General features: G+C 48.2%; 1 protein-coding gene, 1 long non-coding RNA gene and 1 pseudogene across 6 annotated transcripts in view, besides 3 other annotated features; 1 reads left to right on the top strand and 2 right to left on the bottom strand.

Annotated features, from left to right (window-relative positions):
• Positions 1-25,922, top strand: part of ANKRD11 (ankyrin repeat domain containing 11) — a 222,932-nt gene that overhangs the window by 34,156 nt on the left and 162,854 nt on the right. The window contains exon 2 of one of the 4 annotated variants that reach the window (NM_001256182.2): positions 25,080-25,150. The exons of the other annotated variants lie outside the window; for them this stretch is intronic. The gene's annotated coding sequence lies outside the window, so the exon portion shown is untranslated. The remainder of the gene's footprint in view (positions 1-25,079; positions 25,151-25,922) is intronic. 4 annotated transcript variants of the gene reach the window in all.
• Positions 1,912-25,488, bottom strand: LOC101927817 (uncharacterized). Of its 2 annotated transcripts, none has more exons than NR_110931.1 (3): positions 25,061-25,488; positions 12,015-12,166; positions 1,912-3,148 (listed from the first exon to the last, which is right to left on the bottom strand). It is a non-coding gene; the product is annotated as an uncharacterized LOC101927817 (long non-coding RNA). The 2 variants fall into 2 exon arrangements; NR_110932.1 differs by lacking the exon at positions 12,015-12,166 and adding an exon at positions 5,412-5,562.
• Positions 1,959-2,779: an enhancer, noted in NCBI's record as "H3K27ac-H3K4me1 hESC enhancer chr16:89520035-89520855 (GRCh37/hg19 assembly coordinates)". NCBI's record gives its function as "activates a minimal SCP1, AML or CMV promoter by ChIP-STARR-seq in naive H9 embryonic stem cells {active_cell/tissue: H9 hESC(naive)}" and the evidence as "EXISTENCE:reporter gene assay evidence [ECO:0000049][PMID:30033119]".
• Positions 6,266-6,345: a silencer, noted in NCBI's record as "silent region_7902". NCBI's record gives its function as "represses an Ori minimal core promoter by ATAC-STARR-seq in GM12878 lymphoblastoid cells {active_cell/tissue: GM12878}" and the evidence as "EXISTENCE:reporter gene assay evidence [ECO:0000049][PMID:35858748]".
• On the bottom strand, positions 12,982-13,088 carry RNU6-430P (RNA, U6 small nuclear 430, pseudogene; annotated as a pseudogene).
• Positions 22,719-23,491: an enhancer, noted in NCBI's record as "H3K4me1 hESC enhancer chr16:89499323-89500095 (GRCh37/hg19 assembly coordinates)". NCBI's record gives its function as "activates a minimal SCP1, AML or CMV promoter by ChIP-STARR-seq in naive H9 embryonic stem cells {active_cell/tissue: H9 hESC(naive)}" and the evidence as "EXISTENCE:reporter gene assay evidence [ECO:0000049][PMID:30033119]".

Here is a 25,922-nt window from a genome sequence, read left to right as displayed (position 1 = left end):
CGGCTAATTTTCTATTTTTAGTAGAGACAGGGTTTTTCCATGTTGGTTAGGCTGGTCTCGAACTCCTGACCTCAAGTGGTCTGCCTGTCTTGCCCTCCCGAAGTGCTGGGATTACAGGCATGAGCCAGCTTGCCTGGCCCCCGTTTCCACCCCCCCTTTTTTTTTTGGGACCGAATCTTGTTCTGTTGCCCAGGCTGGAGTATAGTGGCACAATCTCGGTTCACTGCAACATCCGCCTCCTGGGTTCAAATGATTCTCCTGCCTTAGCCTCCCGGGTAGCTGGGACTACAGGTGCACGCCACCACACCAGACTACTTTTTGTATTTTTCAGTAGAGACAGGATTTCAGCATGTTGGCCAGGCTGGTCTCAAACTCCTGACCTCAGGTGATTGGCCAGCTTCAGCCTCTCAAAAGTGCTGGGATTAGAGGTGTGAGCCACCACGCCCTACCTGTTTCCACCTTTCTGTTTTCAATAGTGCTGTGAGCATGTGTGCACAGGTTTCCATTTGAACACTTTTTGGGCATATACCAAGGAGTGGAATTGCTGTGTTATATCATAGTTCTGTGTTTACCTTTTGAGGAATTGCCAAAGTATTTCAACAACAGCTGCACCATTTTACATTCCTACCAGATAGGTCAAAATGTACAGCCCCAATTCTTTGAGAATTGAGTCTGCGGCACTCTTTTGTACCAGCAATGGGGGCTGCTGTCTCCAAGGATGAGGTGTGTGAGCAGGTAAGTTCCTCTCCACAGCTCTCTCCTGCCCAAATCGAGCAGCTTTTTCATTAGGCGTTCTCTGCTTGTTAGAAGTTTTTTATTAGACTCCACAGTTCTGAAGAGTTGATTCTGACAGTTTTTGCAGCTTACTCATGCAGTGTTGGAAGGAGTGAGTTTTGGGGCTGTTTTCAGTGACATCCCCACCTGGTGTGTTTTGAGGTTTGTCCATGATGTGGTGCGTGTAGCTCCTGTGTGGTTTTTCTTACTGAGTAGCTTATATAGCTATGTGGGCTCTGCACTGCTGCCACAGCACTTAAGGGGAGATAGCATGAGGAACCCTAACAGCACCCATGGGAGCAGCTTGAGGAACCCTAGAAGCACCCAGGGAAGCAGCTTGAGGAACGCTAGAAGCACCCAGGGGAGCAGCTTGAGGAAGCCTAACAGCACCCAGGGGAGCAGCTTGAGGAACCCTAGAAGCACCCAGGGAAGCAGCTTGAGGAATGCTAGAAGCACCCAGGGGAGCAGCTTGAGGAACCCTAACAGCACCCAGGGGAGCAGCTTGAGGAACCCTAGAAGCACCCAGGGGAGCAGCTTGAGGAACCCTAGAAGCACCCAGGGGAGCAGCTTGAGGAACGCTAGAAGCACCCAGGGGAGCAGCTTGAGGAACCCTAACAGCACCCAGGGGAGCAGCTTGAGGAACCCTAGAAGCACCCAGGGGAGCAGCTTGAGGAACCCTAGAAACACTCAGGGGAGCAGCTTGAGGAACCCTAACAGCACCCAGGGGAGCAGCTTGAGGAACCCTAGAAGCACCCAGGGGAGCAGCTTGAGGAACCCTAGAAACACCCAGGGGAGCAGCTTGAGGAACCCTGGAAGCACCCAGGGGAGCAGCTTGAGGAACCCTAGAAGCACCCAGGGGAGCAGCTTGAGGAACCCTAGAAGCACCCAGGGGAGCAGCTTGAGGAACCCTGGAAGCACCCAGGGGAGCAGCTTGAGGAACCCTGGAAGCACCCAGGGGAGCAGCTTGAGGAACCCTGGAAGCACCCAGGGGAGCAGCTTGAGGAACCCTGGAAGCACCCAGGGGAGCAGCTTGAGGAACCGTAGCAGTGGTAGCTGCTGAGAGTCTGGCCTAGAGCCGCTTTCATAGTGGCTTGGTTTAAGACAGAGTTATAATTTGTGAAGGAGAAAATTGGCATTAATATATGAGCAGTGCTTATTAAAAATTAATTGCTTATATGAGTGTAGTATGATTGTTTTAGAAAGTTGCCTTTTCTTAGGGTTTTTTTACCCACTAGGTCAAGGATGTAAGATTTGCAACCTGCAGTAGAAGTCTTCTGTGCCCATGTGGGTCGGATCCTTGCTGTGGGACTCAGCGTAGGCCTCAGGTGCTCTCCTTATCTGCCCCTGTGTCCCAGGCAAGCCTGCAGAAGTTGTGGTCTGTGGCCTTGGTCTGTAAGCTACAGCTGCCCACACTTGCTGGGCAGTGACTGAGAGCAGCTCTTCAGGCTCTCTTGGTTGTGGCGCGGCTGTCGTTGTGTTGGCTGTGGTTGTGTTGGCTGTGGTGTGCCAGGGGGTGTTGTGAAGCACTCCCCCATGATGAGTTTAGAGTGTATGTCATTTGCATTGTGGAAGGATTATTGTGAAACATGTACTACCTGCCGGGTGCTCTTCTGTGTGCTCCATGTAGGTCCACTCAGACAGTCTTGGGAACTCCCGAGGTGCGGGTGCTCCTCTGCCCCTTGTGGCAGAGATAAGTCAGTTGAGGCACAAGGAAGTTGGGCCACTTGCCCAGGGAAGTTAGAAGTTGGGAGTGGACGCCAGCACTGGACCCTGGGCAGGCTGGCTCCAGAGTCCTGCCTCGAATTCACAAGTTCTGTCTCCAGTCATGTTTTACTTCCTGTTCTCCTTCATGTAATACTTCCTGTTCTTCTTCTTGGACAGGTCAGTGGCATCCGGTCTCTTTTGTTTGCCGCTGTGTCTTCAGCACATCACATTGTCCTGAGTGTCCTGTGCTTGTATTTTCCCATATGTTTTTTCGTGCTTGAACAGATGCTTTGTGCTTTTATTTAAATAACATCTGTCTTGCCTCCTTTCTGTTAGCCACACTTTTTAAAGTATGCAATACAAGTGATGGTCAGCTGGCAAGCAGCTTTGTCCTAGGGGACACCTTAGCAGGCAGGACGTGTTCCTGTGAAACGTGGTTTGGCTTGTAATAGTGTCTGGGAAGGAAGAGAATTCTGTCTTGTCCTACTTAAATTAGTACTTTAACTTAGTTGAAATTCCTATTAGAAATTTTGAGGAAACTTCCATAAGGAAATGTGTGTTCTCCAAGGGATTCCTCTTCCATTTTAAGTTGGAAGTTGTTATAAACATGGTTATTGACCTCGAACAATAATTTTCTTATTTCTGGGTTTTGAAACGTTGATGTAAGCAACTGAAACAAAATTTAATGTCAGAGAAGTAGTGAGTATCTAAGAAATGCACTTAATCCCTGAAGGGCAGGGCAATAAAAACAAAAAGGAGCCAAGATATTTATCTTGTTAAATACTATTATGAAAACGGCAACAACAACAACAAAAAAGAAATGTGCTTCAGATGTTCTGTGCAGCCGGGCGTGGTGGCTTACATCTGTCATCCCAGCACTTTGGGAGGCCGAGTCAGGAGGATTGTTTGAGCCCAGGAGTTTGACACCAGCCTGGGCAACATAAGGAGGCCCTGTCTCTATTTAGAAAATAAAATAAAAGATGGTATGTGTTTATCCACGCATGTGTGATTGTATGAAAAAGCGGGCGTGTGCAGTTTCTTTCAAGAAGACCATGTGAAAACAAGAATCTAAAAGTAGTGAGGGGAATAGGACCTCTTAACTTTCAAAGATACCATCAAAGTATTCTTTTTTTTTTTTTTTTTTTTTTGAGATAGAGTCTCTCTCTGTTGCCTAGGCTGGAGTGCAATGGCATGATCTCTGCTCACTGCAACCTCTGCCTCCCAGGTCTGGAGATTTTCCTGCCTCCTGCCTCAGCCTCCTGAGCTGAGATTACAGGCTCCCGCCACCACACTCGGCTAATTTTTGTATTTTTAGTAGAGATGAGGTTTCACCATGTTGGCCAGGCTGGTCTCAATCTCTTGACCTCAGGTGATCCACCCGCCTCAGCCTCCCAGAGTGCTGAGAGCAGCATTCTTGATTAAAAAAAAAGTAAACAGCTGTGTCCTCACCCGCTGTGGTTTCTAACAGAAAGGTGTTACTAGTTTTAATCACGCCCAGGGTGTGGGAGAGAACTTGGGGTTCCTGGAGCCATTGGTGGCAGGACACCAGGCATGGTTGGTCCTCCCTACCTTGCCCTCTTGGCTTGTGGCTCCAGGGGAGTGGGGTAAGGGGTGCACTTGGCTGTAATTCCTGTCTCTAAATTGCAAATGAGTTTTTTTTGTTTTATTTTGAGACAGAGTCTCACTCTGTTGCCCAGGCTGGAGTGCAGTGGTGTGATCTCGGCTTACTGCAACCTCCACCTCCCAGGTTCAAGCGATTCTCCTGCTGCAGCCTCCCGAGTAGCTGGGATTATAGGCGTGTGCCACCATGCCTGGTTAATTTTTGTATTTTAGTAGAGATGGGGTTTCACCGTGTTGTCCAGGCTGGTCTTGAACTCCTGAGGTCAGGTGATCCACCTGCCTCGGCCTCCCAAAGTTCTGGGATTATAGACGTGAGACACTGCACCCGGCGCAAATGAGCTATTTGATACCAGAGGTTAAATTTTGAACGTCTAGACACATGTTTTAAAGATTTTTTAGGATTTTATTTCAGCTTGTACCCTAAACTTTAGGTCTTAGATTACCAAAGTACAATTATACAGATAGTTGACTTTTCTTTTTCAGTTTTTAAGATTCACTGAAATACTTTTTCCGTCATAAATTGATGCATTGTAAGTATGCCGTTCAGTGATTTTTAGTTAAGTTTGCTTACTAAAAGTAATTTGTGAAATGGGCCAGGTGCGGTGGCTCTAGCCTGTAATCCCAGCACTTTGGGAGGCCGAGGCTTGCAGATCACCTGAGGTCAGGAGTTTGAGACCAGCCTGGCCAACACTGCGAAATTCTGTCTCTACTAAAAATACAAAAATTAACCAGTCTTGATGGCATGTGCCTTTAGTAATCTTAGCTACTTGGGAGGCTGAGGTGTGAGGATTGCTTGAAAACTCGGGAGGCGGAGTCTGCAGTGAGCTGAGATCACACAACTGCACTCCTGCCTGGGCCTCAGAGTGAGGCTTCGTCTCAAAAAAAAAAAAAAAAAAGTAATTTGTGAAATCATCACCATAATCCAATTTTAGAAAATTTTTGGCACTTCAGTAAGATCCCTCCTGTCAATTCACAGTTAATCTGTTCACACCCCAGGCAGCCACTAATCTACTATCTGTCTCCATTGATTTGTCTTTACAGATAATTAACTTTTAAAACAAAAACCCGAAACACCCTTAAAACTATTAGCACTTGACCCACTTGTTAGGCTAGTCTGTAGAGATGTAGTTAGAATTCTGACATAGGCCAGGCATTGGCAAACTTTTTCTACAGAGGACCAAGTGGTAAAGAACTTTGCCAGCCATAGGTTTCTCTGTTGAAACTACTTAACTTTGCCATTGAAGCAAAAGCATGGCTGTGTATGGCTGTGTTCCAATAAAACTAAAACTTTACAGAAACAGTGCTTTGCTCACCTCTGATCACCCCGATCACCTCTGATTTAGGCCATAACTCTTAGCTGGGTGGTGAGCCAGCTGGTCTTCCCATGGAAACCAGGATTGGGCCACGTGGTCATTTACATTTTCATTAGTCATTTTCATGGCTGATGGAAGGCATATTTAGTTTCTGTGTGATATTAAATTGAACAAAATAGAATTTAGAATGTCTTGACAGGCCAGGCATGGTGGCTCACGCCTGTAATCCCGCCAGTTTTGGAGGCTGGGGTAGGAGGATTGCTTGAGGCGAGGAGTTAGAGACCAGCCTGGACACCATAGTGAGACCCTGTCTCTCTCTGTAAAATAGAATGTTTTGAGAATTTGGAGAAAGTAGGAGTTTAGGAATGTATGCATAGCGAAAGAGAATTTGGGAATGATAATCACAAGAAAGGCTTAGAGCTTGGGATTGTCAGCCCTCTTCTGCAATCAGTACTAAAACAAAGCGGGTCTAGAAGTTAAAACGAACTTTATACTTGCAAGTATTTGTTGAGGGTCACAGGAAAGTCCTAACTCCTTGTACACCGTCGGAGGGAGGCACAAGTTTGTCTTGAGGGCCCATTAGGGTGTTGCTGTCACTGTAAAAGCTGTTCTTCCAGCCAGGTATACTTCGTTGTATTCTTACATTCTGTCTCTGAGTCTTATGTTTTTGTTTGCTTTTTTACAAAATGGGGGGTGAATGTCTTAGGTACTTGAATTTTAAGTGAGTAGAAAGAATTGATGGCATATTTTCAGACAGCATCTGGCTCCCCGGTCTGAGCCAGCTCCATGCACAGGTCTTGATTTGGGTATGGAGGTTAAGAGGAAGTCAGGGTCAGAGTCAGAATCATGTACTCTCATCACTCAGGTTCTTCCCTGCAGCTGGAGCAGAGTGTGACACATTCAGTAACACAATTGTTTGCAAATCCTGAAGTCACTGGGTCTCTGAGAAACTGAGGGGAAAGAATGCCTTTTCCTGTTGTGAGATAAAGTGCTCCCCAGTGCTTAGGCAGGGCTCCCCTTGCTTAGGAAGGGCTCCCTCAGGGTGCTCAGTGAAGCAGGAGCTGGGACCTGTAGCCAGGACTGCATTCTTCAGTGTGGCTCTGCCTGTCTATGACTTTGATCATGTCACCTGCTTTCTGTTGCCAGTATGTGAGCACCTTACCTAGCTCACCAGGTTGGTATGCACACTTTTCTTTTTTTTGAGATGGAGTTTCGCTTTTGTTGCCCAGGCTGGAGTGCAGTGACACAATCTCGGCTCACTGCAACCTCCACCTCCCAGGTTCAAGTGATTCTCCTGCCTCAGCCTCCCGAGTAGCTGGGATTACAGGCATGTACCACCACGCCCTGGTAATTTTGTATTTTTAGTAGAGACGGGGTTTCTCCATGTTGGTCAGGCTGGTCTCGAACTCTCGACCTCAGGTGATCTGCCTGCCTCGGCCTCCCAAAGTGCTCGGATTACAGGCATGAGCCACCACGCCCGGCCTGCACACCCCCTTTCTAAGTATAGAAGAATGTGGAAGGGGTGTGTGGGTATAATTTAAAAAAAAAATAACGCATTTCCAGAGATCCTGGTTTAAATTTGCCCCATGATAGCTGCCTTCTCTCTCCATGTCTGTGTTTCTTTTTTTCTGAGACAGGGTCTCATTCTGTCACCCAGGATGGAATGCAGTGGTGGGATCACGGCTCACTGTAGCCTCGACCACCCCACCTCGAGTGATCCTCCCACCTCAGCCTCCAAGTAGTTGGGACTACAGGCATGCACCAACATTCCTCATGCCTGCAAATTTTTCTTTTTTTTTTTTTTTTTGTAGAGACTGGGTTTCACTGTGTTGGTTAGGCAGGTCTTAAATTCCTGGGCTCAAGCAATCCTCCGGCCTCAGCCTCCCAACATGCTGGGATTACAGGTGTGAGCCACCACACCTGGCCCATTTCCATTTCTGTGTTTCTATTCTTGCATTTTCTTTTTCATGTGTGATTTGAAGTAGCAAAGAATAAAAGAAGCTGCTTTATGATGGTTGATGGCTGCTACCAAGAACTAAATACAATGGTGATATGGGCAAGTAAAACATGAACAGATGCCAGGTCCGGGGCACTGCTTTGCTTGTGCTCATGGAGTGAGCCAGAGGTGGGTGGGGATAGAAAGAGCTCTCCTGCCCTGCCCGCATGCCGGGACTCACGTGCGCTCCGGTGGACGGGGCGGTGCTGGTGAGGGTTTTTCTAGGACTGCTAGTCCAGCACCGTCTCGTCTTGGACTTTGAAAATGATTTTAGGGTACTGTAAGGCCTCAGAAGCAGTTTAACTTTACTTTTAAATGTTAAATTCATTAAATTTGTGCAATTAAATGCCTGCTTTTAATTAGGCGTATTTGAAGATTATTTGGAAGGTATTTTTGTGCTTATGTCCTTTATAAAATACTTCAATTTTTAGTTTCAACTTTTGGTTTGAGAGTTTTAATAATATAGTAGTAAGGCTAATTTAAGAAAAAAGAAAATGGAGATTTGTGTTTAGGTGCTGTAGTAGGTTTGCTTTGGCCAAGACTTTGAGTACTTTCGTGTGATTTGGAACTCATGGTGTGAATTCTGACAGATCAGGGAGAAGTTTTTCTTGAGCACTAATATAACTTGTCCTTTCAATTCAGATTTTTGAGAAAAGGTTTCACCATTGGACTGTTTATGCTCATTTTACAGTTGAGACTTTTTCTTTTTATATTACATGGAAATAATTTGCACATATATTCTCCCTAACTAAAAACATCACCTATCAGTCTTACTGAATTCCTGTGCCCAGTGTCTGCAAGGTGCCCACTGTCTGCAGGGTGCCCACTGTCTGCAAGGTGCCCAGTGTCTGCAAGGGTGCATGTGACAAAGTCATCCCTGCTTCAGTGAGAGAATAGATGGCCCAACTCTCCATGCCTGTAATCCCAGCACTTTGGGAGGCCAAGGTGGGCGGATCACCTGAGGTCAGGAGTTGGAGACCAGCCTGACCAATATGGTGAAACCCTGTCTCTACTAAAAATACAAAAATGAGCCAGGCGTGGTGGTGGGCGCCTGTAGTCCCAGCTACCTGGGAGGCTGAGACAGGACAATTGCTTGAACCTGGGAAGTGGAGGTTGCAGTGAGCTGAGATTGTGCCAGTGCACTCCAGCTTGGGTGACAGAGTGAGACTTTGTCTCCAAAAAAAAAAAAAAAAAGAAAAAGTTATTGTATTTTAGGAAAATATTAGATAAATGCTGGTACATGTAATAAATACATGATGTTGGGCCAGGCGCGGTGGCTCACGCCTGTAATCCCAGCACTTTGGGAGGCCGAGGGCCTGCGTGTCCGGATGCAGTGTTCTTAGGGCCAAAGGTGGCTGTGTAGGAGGAGTGAGAACAGGTGGAATGTGGACACTTAGGGTACGAGGCCAAGAGTGGAGCATTGTTGTAGGATTGTGGACCACAGCAGGGAGTGTGAGTGCACGGATGGGGATCACGAGGACCCTCTGATTCGTAGGATTGTGGACGACAGCCGGGATGTGGGTGCATGGATGGGATCATGAGGACCCTCTGATTTGGGTGTTAGCTGTGTGGTTGCTACACTCTAGATCGTGCTATGTGATGTTTCTTTGGCACCTCAGGCCCCCTTGTTGAGGTTCAGTGATATCTGATGGAGAGGAAAGGGTGTTGGGGTGTTTGTGATAAGTCGCTGGATAGGGAAGAGAGGGAGGCATCTAGGGACCACTGTCTTTAGGAGTTTAATGAGGGCAAGGAATGGGGTAGTAGGAGACAGGGCAGCAATAGTGATTAAACTTTTGGTACTAATGGGTTGCAAATATGCATTGGGGGTGAGGAGGCCACTGGTGTTGGACGTGGAGCTTTGTAGTTGGAACGATGGACGTGCCCTTTGTGTGGGGGTCATGCAGTCACGTGCTCGGTGGCTTTCATGCAGTGTCTTCGTAGGGTGGGGAGGGATGGCAGGCATTCAGTTGGTGGCAGGTTGTGTTGGGTCCTTTCCAAGCTTTGCTTCATTCAGGCTTTAAGCAGGACCTGGCCCGTGAGGCACTTGGTGCAGAGTGAGAACACCTCGGCTGTCCCTGGAACTGCAGGGACAGAGGGTGTGTGGCAGGGTGACAAGCGGAGAAGCAGCTGTGGGGGCTGGCGAGAGCCTCTGTGCCCCAGAGTGGAGGAGGAGAGAAGCGGATGCTCGAGGTTTGAGTGGGAGGCTGTGTGTGAGAAGGGCCCCTTGGTGCTCACTGGACAGGAAGCTGCTTGCTGGGCATGGCTGTGGCTGGTGGCACTGTCATTGTGTGTCCAGGGTCCTGCCACAAGGATCTCAGGGCTTCACTTCACAGCCCTTGATGGCCTGGCAGCCAGAATTGAGTCTGTGGGTTTTTTTTGGTTTTTGTTTTTGTTTGAGACGGGGGCTCGCTCTGTCACCCAGGCTGGAGTGCAGTGGCATGATCACAGCTCACTGCCACCTCTGCCTGTTGAGCTTAAGTGACCTTTCCTTCTTAGCCTCCCTGTCAGCTGGGAGTACAGATGCTTGCCACCACACCCGGATAAGTTTTGTGTTTTTTGTAGAGATGGGGTTTTGCTATGTTGACCAGGCTGGTCTCGAACTCCAGGGCTCAAGCGATCTGCCTGTCTGGGCCTCCCAAAGTGCTGGGATTAGGGGCGTGAGCCACTGCGCCCGTCCACCTCAGTGTTAAACTGTTTAGATGCAGCTGTCACAGAAGCTTTAGGAGAACCTCATCTGTTTTCATATTAGAAGCTGTTTTCTTGTTCTCGACACTCTGTATCCCAATAGCTCATTCATGGAAAACACACCCAATTAGGGACTGATCAAGGATTTTCTACCCACTGCCTTCATGAAATGCAATTGGAAGTCCTTTTTAAACAGTTTTTTTTTTTTAAAGATGGTGGTTCTAAGTGTGGATCCATCTGAAGAACAAAACAAAGCTTCATATTCTCTTAGGCAGGAACATATACTAGGCTGGTTTTTTTTTTTTTTTTTTTAACAAAAAATTTTTTTTTTTGTTTTTGTTTTTGAGACGGAGTTTCGCTCTTGTTGCCCAGGCCAGAGTGCAATGGCACGATCTCCGCTCACCACAATGTCTGCCTCTTGGGTTCAAGTGATTCTCCTGCCTCAGCCTCCTGAGTAGCTGGGATTACAGGCATGCACCACCTGGCTAATTTTGTATTTTTAGTAGAGACGGGGTTTCTCCATGTGGGTCAGGCTGGTCTCGAACTCCTGACCTCAGGTGATCTGCCTGCCTCAGCCTCCCAAAGTGCTGGGACTATAGGCGTGAGCCACAGTGCCCGGGCTCAAAATCGTTTTTTTAAAAAAATACAGTTATTTCCTGATTTTATTGAAGAGGATGTTGAGATATCAGAGTAAGAATTCAGGTGTCAGGCAGGACATTGTCCCTGTGCTTGTGGTTATTGCTGTCTTTGTTTCCTGCTTCAGAGTAGCCTGAGCATTTGGAGGACGGATCATCCTCAGCCTCTGTGGCTCCTTGGGGCTGGGGCACTGGTCCTAGGTATGTTTGCAGGTTGGGGTGGAGGATGATAGTGACGTCCATGAGAGGTGTGATGTTGCTTCAGGGGTAGCATCTTACGCCCCAAGGAGATGACCTCTTAGTTTACCTGAACCTCAGAGAGGCTGAATTTGCTCAGCCAGTGGTTCGAAACGGCTGAGCAGTGGTTGAACTAGGGTTGGACCTATATATATTAGTTAAAGAAAACAGCTTGCTCCCCTTCCCTTACTAATACATTGGTTAATGCCATGTCCAAACAGCCTGTTTTACTTTTGTAAACAAGCCACATGGATAAGGGCTTAGCTTTATGGGAAGAAATCAGCCGTTAACATTTGCCTCCTCTGAGGTGGGCCTGCCGTGGAGAGATGGGGACTTCAGTTGGTGAGTGCCTGGGCACCCTCACCCAAGGGGCCAGCACACCTGGATGCTGAGCCTCCAGGTGGGTGGTGCAAGGGCAGGTGCTGAACGGGTCTGTGTGGTAGGTTTGCAAGGGTGGCAGTGTGCCACTGTCTGGGTGGGAGCCTGCCTGCTCCTGTGGTGATGTCCTCTGAGGTCTCTGCCTCTCTCTTTAGGTGGTGGTTCCCTGAGCTTAAGCCCCTCATGCATTTCTCACACTGTAGGGTTACTTGGTTGTTACATCATAGTTGATCTTTATTTGGTAGAATTTCTCTTTTTTTTACATTTTATTTATTTATTTATAACAGAGACGGGATCTGGCTGTGTTATCCAGCCTGGTCTTGAGCTCATGGGCTCATGCCATCCTCCTTCCTGTTTTCCAAAGTGCTGGGATTACAAGCGTGAGCCACTATGCCTGGAGTAGAATTTCTAAAAGCAGTCTTGTATGCTGCTAGACCCTGAAGGGGCTCATGATAGCTTTTCTTTTCCTTGCTTTTGGAGAAGAAACAGTGGGCAAAGTTTGATGATTGGATTTCAGGTGATATCGAAGTCCAGGGCTGGACTAGCTCCAGGGTAACGCTGATGGCAAACCCTACACAACCCCCCTCCCTCCACTCCACCCCCCCGACCGCCCCGTTGCAAAAGTAGGCCGTTAGTGCTTTCTGGAGCCCAAAGAAAATGTTTAGTACGCACCTGCTCTTCCCAGCAAGTCTGTCATGTGCAAGGAGTTGCAGTGAGTGGCAGCCTGTTCAGAGTTGTGGTTCAGGGAGGAAGCATTGCTAGAGTGGGCTTTGGGCAGGAGCATTTATCTCATGGAGACAGTTTTCTGCTGACTGCATTTCCACCTGGAAGGGCATACAGAGTGTTGTTTCTTCTGCTTGTGATTTTAAAACTTGCATATCAGTATCTACCTGTTTTGAGTCTTACTAGTATTTTATGCAGGAACACAAAAAAAATACTTAACTACCTTTTTTGTAAAATACCGAAGTGAGTTGTTATTTATTTCAGATTTGAACTTTTCATTAACCTTTGTCCCAGCCTTGGTGAGTTACAGGGTACTATGGAAACTGTATTCTTGGTCTGCGGAGTTTCTGCCTCCCTGTTCAGCCTGACAGGCCGCTTTGTCTCTGCACACCTCTCCTTCGGTGTTGACGCCGGCCCGGCACGGCAGCTGTAGTTGGCACAGGCTTTGTTGGCACTTTCCTCCAAGACAAGCCCCTGCCCTCCCAGCAGGCTTGCTCTGCACTCACGGGCCTTGTTCCACCTTCCTGTGCAGATCTGTTTCTTAATGCATCTTGGTCATGGGTCATCACTGTTCACCCCTATTCAATTCATCCAGCTTGTGTATCTTTACATGTAATAAAGGGGTGTTCCCGCTCTTAAGAATTGCATTTCTCTTGCTTGCAAAAACTGGTTGAAAAGGCTTAACAGGTCTGGTAGCCTTCTGGGTGCGGAGGGTATTGCCTAAAGAATTTTCCATGCGTGGCAGGCAGCTAGTAGGTATGTGTCTGGCACCCTTCCATGTGGGTGGTGCTAATACTAGTGGTGCAGGGTGGTGCTTGCTGTGGGAATGGGAGCACCCTGTGTATCTCTTGTCTCTTACTGACTGGAAGGCATCTGATGCCTTGCAGAGCAGGTCCCAATCTGTGTGTGTTTTTTTTAAAGTATGGAATGCTTCACAAATTTGCATGTCATCATTGCACAGGGGCTATGGTAATCGTCTCTGTTGTTCGAATTTTTAGTACATGTGCTGGCCAAAGCAAGCATGCCATGCTTGCCTTGACTGTGAACAAGTTCGATTTGAAATACTTCACATTTGAGGCCGGGTGAGGTGGCTCACACCTGTAATCCCAGCACTTTGGAGGCCAGGGCGGGCAGATCACTTGAGGTCAGGGTGAAACCCTGTCTCTACTGAAAATATAAAAATTAGCTGGGCGTGGTGATGCATGCCTGTAATCCGAGCTACACGGGGGCTGAGGCAGGAGAATTGCTTGGGCCTGGGAGGCAGAGGTCGCAGTGAGCCAAGATTGCACCATTGCACTCCAGTCTGGATGACAGAGCGAGATTCTGTTTCAAAAAAATAAGAAGAAAAAAATGAAATACTTCACATTTGAAAAACTTCCTGGCTAGAGGAAAAATCCTTGCTTATGTCTAATGAAAGAGGCAGAGGCTGGGTGCTGTGGTGAGGTGTTGAGTGACAGTGTCAGGGCCCGTGGGAGGTGGTGGCCGGCTTGTGCTGTAAGGGGCAGGAGCGCCGGAGGCTCACCAGGCCGTGATGGGGTTGGAGTGAGAATAGGGCACACACCTTCCTGCCACCGGGGAGCAGGGTAAACAGCAGAACCTTGCTGTGCGTGTCTGGGTTCCAGCAACATTCCTGGTGGGTGGTGGGGAGGAAAGGACTAACCGTGTCAGCACCTGGCCTTTGTGGGACACAGGCCTCCTCCCTGGAGCTTCAGCTTTATCTGGAAATGAGTCTTTGATGCGTAAAACCGTTCCTGAATGATACTGTCCAGCTGGTGGAAACAGGTTTGTTTTGACCTAAAATCTAGGGGTATTGAGAGAGAGAGAAACAGAGACAAACAGCGTGTGGGGGAAGCTGTGCATAAAGGGGCGTTTGTGGGATTGTCTTTTACTCAGGATCCAGCTTGAGCCAAAATGGAGGAAGAGTCTTGGTCTCTACAAAACAGGTGGTTTTCTGAGACAGATTCAAAAGCATTTTCTAGAGAAGCTCTACTGCATCCCTCCATCACATTCAAAACATTGTTTCTAATTATGTTTTGAGAGTGTAGAGTTAGATTGTAGAATACTGAAATTAAATCCTTAGTGAGGAAAGCGTAGACATGACCTGGCATGTTCTCCAAAGCACTGGCACCAGTGGGCGTGCGTTGTCAGCTGGGGTGTCCTCCCTCTGCTGAGCCTCCTCCCCCTGCGGCCTTCGCCTTGGCCCTCGGTGCACTGCATCGGTGTGCCAACTGCTCACTGTGCACAGACCTTTTTCATACTGATGAATTCATGTTTATTACTTTTTAAAAAGTTTATTTCTTGGATCTTAGTCACAGCTAACCCTGATTTTGCTTTCAGTACAAGGATTTTTAATTTCTAGACCGGATTTGAGTTGTTTGAACGGAGGTCTGGTGGCTTTGGGAAAGGTCTTTGCATGGATGATGGGGGAAGGTGCCTTTTTGGTGAGTGCCATAGTCGGCTGCCACCTTGCCATCCAGAGAGATTCCTGCTTGTGGACACTGTTCAGTTATGCAGGGTATGTTTAATTTTTTAAGAGTCAGGTTTGCGTTTTTTTTTTTTTTTTTTTTTTTTTTGTAGGCGGAGTCTCGCTCTGTTGCCCAGGCTGGAGTGCAGTGGCACGATCTTGGCTCACTGCATAGTCCGCCTCCTGGGTTCATGCCATTCTCCTGCCTCAGCCTCCCGAGTAGCTGGGACTGCAGGTGCCCACCACCACACCCAGCTAATTTTTTGTATTTTTAGTAGAGGTGGGGTTTTACCATGTTAGCCAGGATGGTCTCCATCTGCTGACCTCGTGATCCGCCCGCCTTGGCCTCCCAAAGTGCTGGGATTACAGGCGTGAGCCACCGCGCCCGGCCAGGTTTGCGTATTTTTTAATAATTCTTTTTCTGAAGTTTTTTTCCTGACTGCTTTTGTTGCTGGGTGATGGAATATATTCTGACATTGGATGTGCAAGATCTTAAAAAAGTCTGTGTAATAGAGTCTGTGTAAGAGAGCCTGTGTTGAGAAGTTCTGTAGTCTCTTCAGAATGAAAATTCATTTAAATATTTTAGGACTTCACTCCAGAGGGTTTTAGCGCATGCATAGCGAGGAAACTTTTTTTTTTTTGAGACGGAGTCTCACTTTGTGGCCCAGGCTGGAGTGCAGTGGCTCGATCCTGGCTCACTGCGATCTCTGCCTCTCAGGTTCACGCCATTTTCCTGCCTCAGCCTCCCGAGTAGCTGGGACTACAGGCGCCCACCACCACGCCCGGCTAATTTTTGTATTTTTAGTAGAGACAGGGTTTCACGGTGTTAGCCAGGATGGTCTCGATCTCCTGACCTCATGATCTGCCCGCCTCGGCCTCCCAAAGTGCTGGGATTACAGGCGTGAGCCACTGTGTCTGGCCGCAAGGAAACTTATTTTTTATAAACCACGATGCGCTCTCTCTTTCCGTTTTGACTGTGACACACACCAGCCACACCAGGATTCATGCGCACTCACACGCATTGCCACACAGCCACAGATGTTCCTGTTGATGCCACATGGATTTATTTTCAGTCCCGGCAGGCTTGGAGGCAGGTGGCCCCCTTTCTGTAGCCCCTTGCTGGGTGGTGCCTGGATGTCCTCTGGCTTCTCCAGGGCTCTGCCCACGTTGCTGTGAGTTGGATTTTTTGGGGCCCTTAGTTTGTGCTTGATATTTTCTTATGCTTTCTTCCTTTCCCTCTTACCTCCTCCTCCCCCTCCTTTTGAGACAGAGTTTTGTCGTGTCATCCAGGTTGGAGTGCATTGGTACTCACAGCTCACTGTAGTGTTGACCTCCTGGTCTCAAGCAATTCTCCCACCTCAGCCTCCTGAGTGCCTGGGACTACAGGTGCACACCTCCATGCCCAGCTAAGTTTTTATTCTGTTTTTATTGTTACAAAGTTGAGGTTTCAGTGTGTTGCTCAGGCTGGTCTGAACTTCTGGCCTCATGTGATCCTCCCCCCTCAGCCTTCCAGAGTTCTGGGATTACAGGCCTGAGCCACCACGCTGGACCGAGACATTTTCTGGTGGTCTGCTTTTCCTAGTTCCACTGTTATTTATCCCTCCCCCCAGGGGAACATGTACATTTTACGTGAACATATTGATAAAATGTTCATTTCTAATTACAGCACACTGAATTCTTCCGGAGGAAGAATCCTGTGAACCCTGCCATTGTCCCCTTGAGGACTGGAGAAGTAGGAAGAGGCAGGGAAATGGTTGCGGGTGAGCACTGGGCTAGAGGTTCTGTGTTTTAGACCTCAGTCCTGAAAGGCTGTGATCTCCTCTGAGTCTCTGATTCTTTGTCAGCTTCCTCATAAGAGCCAAGTCACAGATTATGGAGTTAAGGTAGTGGGCTGCGGCTCAGACCCCACACCTGTGAGAGACACAGGCCTCTCCTGCTGTGGGTGTGTGCAGTAGAGCTGGAGTCTTTGACTTCTCCGGAGGCCGCCCATCAGTCTAGGTCAGCTGCACTGTGGGTAGTGTTAGAGTTGAGCTTACAGCTGGCTCTGTTGGTGATCATTGGGAATGAAAACGTTCCACAGAGTTCTGAGGGGGACGGAGTTGTGTTGAGAACACCTTTGGTGTTGTGTGTCAGTGGTGTAGATGAAGAATAGATCTGAGGTGGATGGAGGTGTGCTGAGAACACCTTTGGTGTTGTGTGTGAGTGGTGTAGATGAAGAATAGAACAAGCTTTTCTTTGCTGATTGTGTGGTTGTATTCACAGCCTCAATTGCTGAGGCGCTGTGGTGTGTTTCAGCTTTATCCTAAATATCACATTGCATTTTAGATGGGTTTTCTCACCCATATCCCTGGATCACTGTTTTACATGGAGAACTTTGACACTTGTTTTTTCTTTGGTGTAGTTTTTAGCACTGAAAGTGTATACAGATAGTCCCTGACTTAATGATGGTTCGACTTAGGATTTTTGACTTTACACTGGGTTTATTGGGAGGTAACCCCATTGCAAGTCAAGGAACATTTTATCTCCTTAAAAGTAAAATCATTAATTTAGTGTTGTCTGCTTTTAAATTTTTACATATTCAGAGGTCCTATATATTTGTGCTTAGGATTCAGTTGTCTATACTGGAAAACAGCATTTTCCAAAAAAGTTTTCAGTTTACTGAAAACAGTGGGACTTCCTTGAACCTTCAGTGCTGCGGGTAGGAAAGAAGACTCTGGGACTGTGCATGCATGTGGATTTGAACAACGTGCCACACAGAGGGAGTTTCCCATTGTGATGTTTATCTTCTATATGAATGGAAGAATACAGTTCTTTTTTTTTTTTGGTTTTGTTTTTTTTAAGAGAAAGGTTAAAATTTTTGTTTGTTTTTGTTTCTGTTTTTGTTTGAGGCAGGGTCTTGCTCTGTCGTTCAGGCTGGAGTGCAGTGGTATGATCACGAACTCATTGGCTCAAGCAGTCTCCCATCTCAGCCTCTCCAGCAGCTGGGATCACAGGCATGCAACCCCACACCTGGCTAGTTTATTTTAAAATTTTTTATAGAGATGCGGTCTCACATGTTGCTCTGGTTGGCCTTGAACTTCTGGGATCAAGCAGTCCTCCCACCTCGGCCTCCTAAATGCAGTAACATTTGATGACTTGAGATTTGAATACTTTAGCTTCGAAGGGACTGTGCTTGGTTCTTGGGGGCAATGCCTTCCAAACTGTCCATCATGACCCAGTATGTCTTTTTTTAGAAAATTTTCTTGGATGGGCACGGTGGCTCATACCTGTAATCCCAGCACTTTGGGAGGCCCAGGTGGGTGGATCACCTGAAGTCATAAGTTCAAGACCAGCCTGGCCCAACCTAGTGAAACCCTGTATCTACTAAAAATACGCACACACACACACAAATTAGCTGGATGTGGTAGCACACGCCAGTAGTCCCAGCTACTCGGGTGGGTGAGACAGGAGAATTGCTTGAACCCAGGAGGCGGAGGCTGCAGTGAGCTGAGATCGCACCACTGCACTCCAGCCTGGGCAACAGAGTGAGACTCTGTGTTGAAAAAAAAAAAATGTTCCCTATCCCAAGGCCATAAAGATAGCTTCCTACGCCTTCTGCACATTTTGTACTTTTGCCCTTTGCATTTATACCTTTAATGTATCCTAAATTGATGTTTGTGTATGGTGTGAGATAAGAAGCCAGCTGTTCCTAGTCTTCATGCAGACACCAGTTGTGCCAGCCTCCTGGGCTGCGCACGCGGTTCGTGGACCCATCTCCAGTGCCCCTGCTGTGTCCAAGCTTGCGGTGCCCTCCTGGCCAGCGGGCTCTCCTTGGGACACTGCCACTTGCCTTCATGGTGGACTCTGCCTGGTGTTGGTGTCTAGAAATACAATGGACTTGTGTATATTCATCTTATATTTTGTATCCAGGAATTTTTCTTTCTACAGATGAGGAAACTAAGAATGATTTTAACCATGGCTGCCCAACTCCACAGCCCCCGGGCCTAGTTTGCATTATGCATTGCCCTGCACTGACCCATAGGAGATTGAACTGGGCATAGCGTCGAGGTGCCCTGGAGGGTGGGTTGCTGGAGCTGGGAGTGGCATTAGGAGTAGTGGAGAGGCATGGCGGAGGAGCGGATGCATGGGAGGTGCAGAGGCCAGTGAGAAATGAGAGTGGCCAGGGCACCACAGCCTCCCTACCAGACAGGAAGAGCCGGAGAGAGCTGGTCTGAGGGACAGCGTCTCTAGCCTTGAATCCATGGCTTTCATAAACCCCTTGGACATCTGGTGAGTGGGCTCTTGGGAGAGATGTCAGGTTGGAGAGAGCTCTGGAGGACTGTCTCTGGAGGACTGTTTGCTCAGGGGAGATGGTGGCATGCTGGGAAGTGAGGGGCTGCTCAGTGAGAGAGTGGGAGGCACAGAAGAGCAGAAAGAAGAAGAGGTGAATGAGGAGAGAGGAAGTAGGGGTGTGGAGGAGTCAGTGGGAGGCGGGAAGAGCCAGCCTGTTTGCTGCACTGGTTTGGGAACATTAGAGTGAAGAAAACAGATGTTGGGGCAAACAATACAGTCTTTCACTTTTTGGTATTTTTTTGGTGGCTTTTTAAAAAATTCTCTGTCATATTAGCATATTAGCATCATGCTTGGTTCATGGAATGAGAGGCCACTGTTGTTGGCCCTCTTCATAAGTGGACGTTCCTTCTCCATTTCCAGGTTAGAAGGTGTGTGCTGCGCTTTCAGTGATGGATCTGTTCGCTTCGTTCCCTTCCCTGTTGTGAAAATGGTCACACACAGGCTGATGCCGTTTGGGTGTGTGTTGTCGTTTTCTTCTGTGACATCTCCTTCCTCGTATGTCACTTTTTAGGATATTGGGGACAAATGTTCTAAATTCATCAACTTTGACCATCTTTTGTTTAAAGGAAACTACTTTGAGTTTCCTACTTTTCTCTCTTTTTAAAAGATGTGGTTGATAAATGTATATTAAATTTTATTCAGTTAGCTTAAGAAAGTAGATAAGTTTATTGAAGAGCAAAACACAAAGCTTCGGCAATACCATTGTCCAACCTTCAGGGGTCTCTAACAGTTCTCTAGTTATTAATTCCCTCACAGTTACCTCAGGGGATTAGAATAACTTTATTAAAACAAAAATATAGTAAAAGTTTTTTGGTTTTTCGCGTGTCCTCCGTTGACTTGTCAGTGTTGAGAGTTACTTTTTATTTTGTATCTGAAGGAGCAGCTTAGAGGAATAGTTATTCCAGGAAGAAGAGCTCTGATGGCTGATGCCCCTGCGTCTTCATTTCCGCCTGCTTCAGTCCTGCTCTTGCGGAACAGCCGTCCTGTTTGCTATGTCCCAACACCCAAGGCAGACGTCGCTTGAGGCTCTTGTATAATACTTGCTGTTAGAGACAGTGGTCTTTTCTGCTTGAATCTCTTGTTGATGAATGTCATCTGTCAGGAGAAACTTGGATTATCTTTTTTTTTTTGAGACCGAGTCTCACTCTGTTGCCCAGGCTGGAGTGCAGTGGCATGATCTTGGCTCACTGTAACCTCCATCTCCTGGGTTTAAGCAATTCTCGTGCCTCAGCCTCCCACGTAGCTGGGACTACAGGTTCTGAGCCATCACGCCCAGCTCATTTTTGTATTGTTAGTACAGATAGGTTTCACCGAGTTGGCCAGGCTGGTCTCGAACTCCTGACCTCAGGTGATCCACCCATCTCCGTCTCCTAAAGTGCTGGGATTACAGGCATGAGCCACTGTGCCCGGCCGAATTATCATGTTTTAATAGAAGAAAATTTTAGTCTACTTTCCCAAATGGGGAATCTTTCCTTTTGCTGGGGGGTCTGCAGTCATATTGTTGGAAGAATGTGTGACCCTGCAAAACCCTCTGCTCTCAGCAGCACCTGCTGGGCTGGTGGGCGTGCTCAGCACAGCTCCAGGACACAACTGGCTGTTCTTGAAACTTGCGGTGATTTAGAGGTGATGGGCGGCACCAGCACATTGAACTGAATGCAGAAGTTGAAGTGAAAAAGGCTTCCTGTTCCTTGAGCGAACAGACCGAAAGCGTGTGTGTGTGTGTGTGTGTGTGTGTGTGTGTGTGTGTGAAGAGCTGGTGGCTGTGGGTGCGTCAGTTGGTCTGTTCCTTGAGTGGACAGTCAGTTGGTCTTGGACTCCCAGCAGGACAGAACGAAAGTACGTCTGCGTGTGAATGTGTCTGGAATTGGTTCCTTCCGGTGGGTTCTCGGTCTCGCTGACTTCAAGAATGAAGCTGTGGACCCTCGCGGTGAGTGTCACAGTTCTTAAAGATGGTGTGTCCGGAGTTTGTTCCTTCAGATTTTCAGATGTGTCTGGAGTGTTTTCCTTCTGGTGGGTTCGTGGTCTCGCTGACTTCAGGAGTGAAGCTGCAGACCTTCGCGCTGAGGGTTACAGCTCATAAAGGTAGTACAGACCCAAAGAGTGAGCAGCAGCAAGATTTATTGTGAAGAGTGAAAGAACACAGCTCCCACAGCATGGAAGGGGACCCCAGTGGGTTGCTGCTGCTGGCTCATGTGGCCAGCTTTTATTCCCTTATTCGGCCCTGCCCACGTACTGCTGATTGGTCCATTTACAGAGCGCTGATTGGGCCATTTTACAGAGTGCTGATTGGTCCATTTTTACAGAATGCTGATTGGTTAGTTTATAAACCTTTAGCTAGACACAGAGTGCTGATTGGTGCGTTTTTACAGAGTGCTGATTGGTGAGTTTAGAAACCTTTAGCTAGACAGCGCTGATTGATGCATTTGTACAGAGTGCTGATTGGTGCATTTACAGACCTTTAGCTAGACAGAAGAGTTTTCCAAGTCCCCACCCGACCCAGAAGCCCAGCTGGCTTCACCTCTCATGAAGAGCTGGTGGCTGTGGGTGTATCAGTTGGTCTTGGGCTCCCAGCAGTTGAGTGTTCACACCTGGGCCTGCGCCCTGCTTCACCTAGCCATCCGCATGGACACTTCAGTTTGTCGTGGGTTTTCTTGTGCCTTGGTGCAGTCTCACCAGTTAGAGCATAACTTCCTCAGGGCAAGGCTGCCCCAGACAGCCAGTGTCCTCGCCGCGTCTCCATCCAGTGCTTTCCTGTCTTTGTTATTAGATGCTCATCAAACATGAGGCCACTACAAACTAGAAGACCTTGGCTAGAGTCCTGAGACCTTGTGTGTGTGGTGTGGCTGTGTGAGTCTCTGCCCATCCCACACGCCACTCTTTAATAAGAGCAGATTTTGGACCTCAGGAGACATCTGTTGTGGAATTTATAGGCATGGATTGTCGGGCCAGCTTTCCTTCTGCTGATTAGCTGCTGACCAGCCGCATGCTTCTGCAGCCTTACTGTGACAGGTGGGGCTCAGGTGGCCTGGGCAGGGGTGAGGCACAGGACTGCGCGGTGCTGCTCCTCCTGGCTGCAGCGACTTCGCTGGATTCTCTCATTTTTATGGCTTTCTTTCTCAGACTAGGTCTTTCCGACTTGCGTGGAGAAGAAGAGTATGAGAATTCTCAAGTTAGAGAAGAATTGCTTTATGGTCATTATTTCGACAACTGTATGACTGGGAGTTTGGGTGAGGAAGGGCTAGATCAGTGATTTTTTTTTAAATTAGATTTACTTGGAAAACATTAAAAAAATTGCAGTTCACCCCCAGACACACAGAATCCATAGTGTCTTGAGGAGGTGAGTGTGTGTAGGGTGCACCATGGGTGAGTGGCATCTTGGAGGCACTGGGGTGCTGCTGCCGTATGGCCCTTCTCTTGGTCCTGTTTGCATTTGGGGCCTGTTGTTTATTTCTAGTGGGTGGTGCAGGCCAGGCAGGGTAGGTGGGCATCCTCCCTTCTCTGTAGGTGACACACTAGGGGCATCTTCTCAGAGTAACCAGCTGGGAGCTGGAAACTTCTGTATTTAGAAGCCAGTGTCCATGTCCCCTTCTCCCTTATAGTGTGGTTAAACAATCAAATGTTAATACCAGATGTCGATGTAGCTGTTTTCTCAGGAGTTCTTGGATTCTGAGGCAGAGAGCAGCCCCTTTTCTCTCCACAGTGGGGCTCTGGGGCTGGAGAAGGTGGCGTGCCCAGTCCCCGCGTCCAAGCCCGTTGCTTCTCTCTTACTCTCGTGAAGGTGGCGTGCCCAGCCCTGCTGCGTCCAAGCCCGTTCCTTCTCTCTTACTCTCGTGAAGGTGGCGTGCCCAGCCCTGCTGCGTCCAAGCCCGTTCCTTCTCTCTTACTCTCGTGAAGGTGGCGTGCCCAGCCCTGCTGCGTCCAAGCCCGTTCCTTCTCTCTTACTCTGGTGAAGGTGGTGTGCCCAGCCCCCACGTCCAACCCTGTTCTTCTCTGTTGCGCTCCTGCTGCTCCTTTAGGGAGGCCTTTTAGTGTTGCTGGAGCTGGGACTGGTGGCCAACGCCGTGTCTCTGTTCTGAATAGTATGTTTGAAAGCCTGTCGGTGGTAGTGAGGTGCAAAGAAAAAGGAGTCTGAACTTGGCATGCTGTTAGGTTCCTGTGCTGTCAGGAAGTGGAAAGTCTGCAGAGGAGACAACGGACACTTTCTTCCTAGAAATGGACTAATTAACTTGTAGGTTAGCAGACTGAAAGAGCCTGGAGGGATCCATATGTTAGGGCCAAAGGATCCGGCCAGTCATGGCCACTCAACTGGGCCTTGTCATGAAACCCTCTTGAAGGGGAGGCCTCCTTACTGTCTTCCTTTTTCATTTCCAAATTACTCTTGTCCATAAACTACATCTTATGGTGAATATCCATCTGTTCTAAAGAAGCTGAATGGATCAAAAGGGTAAAATGCTCAGAGGCCAAGGGAGAGCTGTTTTTATTATGGCAATGCTTGTATATAATGTGGCCTGTGTCCATATATTTCGTGTGTGTGTGTGTGTGTGTGAGAGAGAGGAGAGAGAGAGAGAGAGAGAGAGAGAGAGAGAGAGAGAGAGAGAGATAGGGTCTCTGTCACCCATGGCTGGAGTGTGGGGCTGTGATAAAGCCCCCTGCAGCCTCGACCTCACAGGCTCAAGTGATTCTCCTGAGTAGAGACTCAAGTGATTCTACTGAGTAGCTGGGACCACAGGCGTGTACCACCATGCCAAATTTTTTAATTTTTTATAGGGATGGGGTCCCATTGTGTTGCCCAGGCTGGTCTTGAACTCCTGGGCTCAAGATTATACCGTGATAGAATATGAATGGGGGTGAGTGTGTGACTGGTAAGGTCTCGGGTATGGTGGTGACATAGTATAAAAATATAAAAGCAATACATATCTCCGTAGAGAATTTGAAGAATATTGAGAAGTATAAGGAAGAAAGTCAAGACCTGAGCTTGACTTTGAAGAATGAATAGGAGTTTGCCAGCTGGACACAGTAGAAAAGGGCATTCTAGGAAGATGGAGAGGGACCCTCCTAAACTGGAAGGTGTTTGCGGTTGCTCAGAGGCTGGGGAGGCAGCCAGACAGCACCCCTCAACACAGTGCATGCCACGGGCTCTGGGAGGCGGCTGCCACGGCGATGGGTCCTGAGGTCACAAACAGCGGCTGCCAGCCTGGGGAAACACTGGAGTGTGTCCCATGTAGGAGTGGAAGCTTTCGTCCTGTGAAGCTTTTATTTTCCAGGGGTGTGTGTGTGTGTGTGTGTGTGTGTGTGTGTGTGTGTGTGTACTGCATCACGATGTACAACATGAATATATTCCTTGTTAGCCCAGTGACTTCTGCACACCAGACTGAGGTGTAAATAAGTGACCAGATGTGGCAAATTCTCCCCTTAGCACTGTGGGGAATAAGTTGATGGTGTGTGTGGCTGGAGGTGGAGATAATTAAGTTGTTATGATGATGTAGGTAAAGAAATACTGAGACACTCTTGAACTAGAAGTCAGAGCGGTTGCAGTAGGGAGGAGTGACAGTGATGGGGGGGAGCTGGAAATGGACAGGATTTATAAGTGGGCTTTTGATAGGGAGGAGGAGGCAGCTGGTTTCTGCCTTGGAGGGTTAGACAGTGGTGCCCTGCAGCAAGGCAGGGGATACAGGAAGGAGTGGGGTGAGGGCTCTGTATGTGCACAGCCTGTGTGAGGAGAGCCGAGTAAGGTGGGAACATTGTCTCTGATTGACAGTGTCTCTAGTTGGACATTGTTGCAGTGGGTTCAGTGGGTTCAACTCTGATTGGCAGAGCTGGGATTCAGCAGCACGTCGTTAAAGCCAGAGGCAGGTGAGAGTGCCCCTGCAGTGGCTGAAGACAACATTGAGGGAGGAGGTGGAGGAAGGAGATGTAGCAAGTGAAACAAAATGGAAACAAAGTTCACAAGAGAAACCGGGAATGGTGGGGTGGAAGCCTGGGAAGAGAGTGGTTTGTAGGTTCAGTGCTACTGCGAGACCATGCTAGATGAGTGCCAGTTATGTTCCATGTTTCTCACAAGAAACACAGAGGTGGCATCTGTTAAGGGCTGTCGTGGGGGTTGAATGAGGCGATGCGTGGAGAGCACAGAGTGGGTGTGCCTGGGTGTGTGATCATCATGGTGTGGCCAGTGGTGGTGATGGGAGGGGCAGCCACTCACCAGCTCGCTCTCTCTCCAGCCCGTGCAGCCTGCCAGGACTCTTCCAGACACGGGATTTGTCGGTGAACAACGCAGAGCTGATGCAGACATGTGGGTAAAGATGTTGTCCATCCAGTCGCACGCACCGGCCAGCTTGCTCTTATTTATCTTCTGTACTTTGCCTTTGCTGCTTGAGAGTTCTGTAAACAATTCTTAATAAACAAAGAGGCAGGTTTTATGTGGAAACTCCTGGGAGAGGAGAGGATTTCACTGAATGCAAACAGGAGGAAGGAGCAGATGTTAACCCTAGGCTTCTGGAAGCAGGGTTGAGTCAGCAGCGCCTTGGTCTTAGGAAGAGGCCGGGATGGATAGGTTGAGCCTGGAGTGGCCGTTTCTGTTTCTCCGCCTGCGCACCCACTTCCCAGGCTCACAGGGGTTTCCTTTGTGATGCAGGAGGAAGCACAGTGGGAAGAGGAGAGCACAGGCAGGGCTGACGAACATGATGATTCTCAGACAGAAACTGCGTAAGGTCATATGTGAGGAGCAAACTCCCTTTTGTCTTAAGAAAGAAACAATTCATTTTGGTGATGTTTCTTTTGTTACAGTGGCCGGCCATCAGGTTGCATTAATGAAATGGAAAAGTAGTGTTTCAAGATAGGGGACAAGTCTGCTGGGCGGGGACAGAGCCTGCAGTGTGGAATGCCTGCCAATCAGCCATTCATCCAAGGGGCGTTTGTTGACCTTTGTCCTTGTTAAAGGACAGCGCACCTGCTGTGTACTAGAACGTCTGAGCGTGAGAGTTGAGAATCCCTGCTGTGTACTAGAACGTCTGAGCGTGAGAGTTGAGAGTCCCTGCTGTGTACTAGAACGACTGAGCGTGAGA

The sequence above is a fragment of the Homo sapiens genome, chromosome 16 (genome assembly GCF_000001405.40).
Source record: "Homo sapiens chromosome 16, GRCh38.p14 Primary Assembly".
In the NCBI taxonomy this organism is placed as follows: Eukaryota; Metazoa; Chordata; class Mammalia; order Primates; family Hominidae; genus Homo; species Homo sapiens.
The sequence above is the reverse complement of the archived record's forward strand: the minus strand, read 5'-3'. Positions and strand labels throughout refer to the sequence as shown.